Here is a 3,230-nt window from a genome sequence, read left to right as displayed (position 1 = left end):
AGCCAAGATCGGGCCACTGTACTCCAGCCTGGGCGACAGAGCGAGACTCAGGCTCAAAAAAAAAAAAAAAAAAAGAGCCCACTGTACTTGGGTGGCTGAGGTAGAAGGATCACTTGAGGCCAGGAGTTCGAGGCTGTAGTGAGCTATGATTGCACCTCTGTTGTCCAGCTTGGGAGACAGAGTAAGACACTGTCTCTAAAAAAATAAAAAGAAATTAAAAAAAAAAAGAAAACCTACTGGTTTTCTGGTCCTGAGGATTCTTGGGAGGAGAAGGGAGAAAGAGTGTTTGTGCAAAATGAAAGAAGAGGGAGGAGAGGGAAGCTGCCAGTCCTTAAGTCTCTGGTGGTGGAGTGGGGTGGGGGCGGGGGACAGGGATGTTAATTAAATTAGTGGGTTACACCAAGAGGAAGGAGGGGAGCTATTGCCATACGTTTTCTAGGGCACAGCCTCAGAAATATATGGCAGTGTGAATATTTTTTAAGGCTCAACTTCAATTCCTATGTGGAACACAAGCCAGGTCCGTTGCGGGGCCTCCTGAGGCAGCGGGAGGTGAGCCTGGGGCAGAGGCTACTCGGAGGCTGGACACCAAGCTCAGGGGAAAACTGCCAGCAGAGCCAAAGTGAGGTGGAGTCCTGAGCAAGCTGGGAGGCCCAGCTCACAGGCTGCACCAACAGCTCACATGACAAGCAACTCCAGAATCATGCTCTGGGGTCTGAGAACCCGTGTCTCCCTGAAACCTCACAGGTACCTCTATTACACACCCTTCCTCCTGTGCACCTGGACAGCCTCTCAAAAAAGAATCAGGCCCGGACACAGTGGTTCACGCCTGTAATCCCAACACTTTGGGAGGCCGAGGCAGGTGGATCACCTGAGGTCAGGGGTTCAGGACCAGCCTGGCCAACATGGCGAAACCCTGTCTCTACTAAAAATTCTAAAAATTAGCCAGGCATGGTAGCAGGTGCCTGTAATCTCAGCTACTTGGGAGGCTGAGGTACGGAGAATTGCTTGACCCTGGGACGTGGAGGTTGCAATGAGTTGAGATCGCGCCACTGCACTCCAGCCTGGGAGACAGAGGGAGACTCCGTCTCAAAAAATAAAAAAAAATAAAAATAAAAAAGAAAGAAAGAATCAGAAGAGAGGAGGCTTCTCAGAGATTGAGCATTTTTTTCCAAGAGAGACTTGGCATTCCGTAAACAGTCTATTTAAATCATTGGACTGTATTATGCATTTAACAGACTTGAGCATTAACTTAATTAATTTTTCCTTCGACTGTTGAAGACTTAGGGAAAGGACTAAAATAAAGAAGTTACCATTTTCTGCACATCTCAATTTGAGTGTGTGACACACTTTGCAAACCTGTTATATTTGCAAAGCTCAAAGCAAAGCAATGGTTTAAGGTGGCATGCAAAACTGACAGTTCTCTTTTCCCATTTCTCCTCTTTACTTCTGCTTCTCAGGTTTTGCAAAGTCAGCAGAGAATGGAAGGCAATGTTCTGAGATTACACATTTGGGCAATTGATTGAATGATGCTGTAACACACAAGACTGGAATGGAGTTGAGACTGGGAACCTGATTATGAGCTACATTTTGGACAAGTTTAACTTGATGTAATTATGCATTACCAGTATCAAGCTATGTCTTGCAAATTGTGGGTATCTACTTGGAGCTAAAGAGATTGGGACAGGAGATATAGATTGGAGAGTTTTCAACATATGAGTGATAAATGAAGCTGTTGGGATGGATGAGATCCCTTCCAATGAACAGTAAGAACATATATTTTTGGTAGAGAAAAGGGCTAATGATAAAGACTGAGAAAAAAGAATGTTAGTAAAATGGCCAACTGGGAAAAAGTGACAGAGCTGTGAAAGGCAAAAGAAGGTTCTTTCTTTCTTTTTTTTCTTTTTTTTTTTTTTAAGATGGAGTCTCATTCTCTCACCCAGGCTGGAGTGCAGTGGCGTGATCTCAGCTCACTACAACCTCTGCCTCCCCAGTTCAAGCAATTCTCCCGCCTCAGCCTCCCAAGTGGCTGGGATTACAGGCACATGCCACCACGCCCAACTAATTTTTGTATTTTTAGTAGAGATGGGGTTTCACCATGTTGGCCAGGCTGATCTTGAACTCCTGACCTCAGATGATCCGCCCACCTTAGCCTCCCAAAGTGCTGGGATTACAGAAGTGAGCCACCATGCCCGGTGAAGAATCCGTTTATTTAGACATTCTCTTCTTAGGCATTTTTAAGTTTTTCCACTGCTGTAATACCACTGTGTATTTTTCACTTTCAGCCTTCTCTTCAAACACTTTTTTTTGGGAGAATCTGCATCACTGTCTCTGTTCCTGCTTCCTTATCCTCTCCAATGAGAAGATCCAATGTATCTCCCACTTTGACCATTCTGCTTTTCTTCCATAATTTTTCCCCATTCAGCCTGAATTCACCTTTGCAGAATGCATCTTCCACTTTGTTTCTTCCAATATCCAGGCTTGTCTTCAGGACAACGTCATCCTGAAAAGACCGCACTACTGTTTCCAGGTCTTGATAGTCTTTGCTATAGTAAGGCCATCCTCAAGCTCCTCTTCCTGCTCACTCATCTCGTTCTGATCACTTTCTGCATCAGAGTCCTCCTCATCTCCTATTTTTTGCAGATACTTTTTAGTAGATTTTGTAGAGCTTATATTACTTTTGAGTCTTATGGAAAATGGAAAAAAATATTCCAGAGATATTAAAAGCCCCGGGAGTCTCAGTGAGAAAATGTTATAGAAAAGTGTATTATAATTTGGTGCATGTAACTTGGTACTAGAAAAATACAAGTACTGATTCCAGGAAGTACAGAGTTTGTGTGATGAAGGTGTTCCTCAGAGAACACCCGAGAGTCCAATCCAGGTATCTGGCTTTCTTAAAACACCAGCATGCAATTTGACACTAGTCATAGCCATGGCACTTATAACCTGTATGTCAGGGCCTCCGAACAGACTCCTTTTTTCCTCTGAAGTCCACAATGCTTACTGTTGGAGAACCGTCTATTGGAGATGAGAGGAGACTCAGCGAGAAGAGTCAGGAGGCCCGCAGTGGGCGGGGCAGGAGCTGCTGGCGCTTGGACTAGCCCTAAGGTTTTGGCAGTGAAGATGCTGGGAAGTGGTAGAGCTGAGGACAGTTTTTGAGTGGAATTCCATCAGGACTTGATGGGTTTGGATGTGGCATTAAAGGGAAGCCTGGCTCAGAATAAAAGGGAAGT

The 3,230-nt window shown here is 44.8% G+C and overlaps 1 pseudogene; it reads right to left on the bottom strand.

The window, feature by feature from the left end:
• On the bottom strand, positions 2,199–2,960 carry MTRES1P1 (MTRES1 pseudogene 1; annotated as a pseudogene).

Source organism: Homo sapiens, chromosome 6 (genome assembly GCF_000001405.40).
Source record: "Homo sapiens chromosome 6, GRCh38.p14 Primary Assembly".
NCBI classification, from domain to species: Eukaryota; Metazoa; Chordata; class Mammalia; order Primates; family Hominidae; genus Homo; species Homo sapiens.
This window is presented reverse-complemented; position numbering and strand designations above follow the sequence as displayed.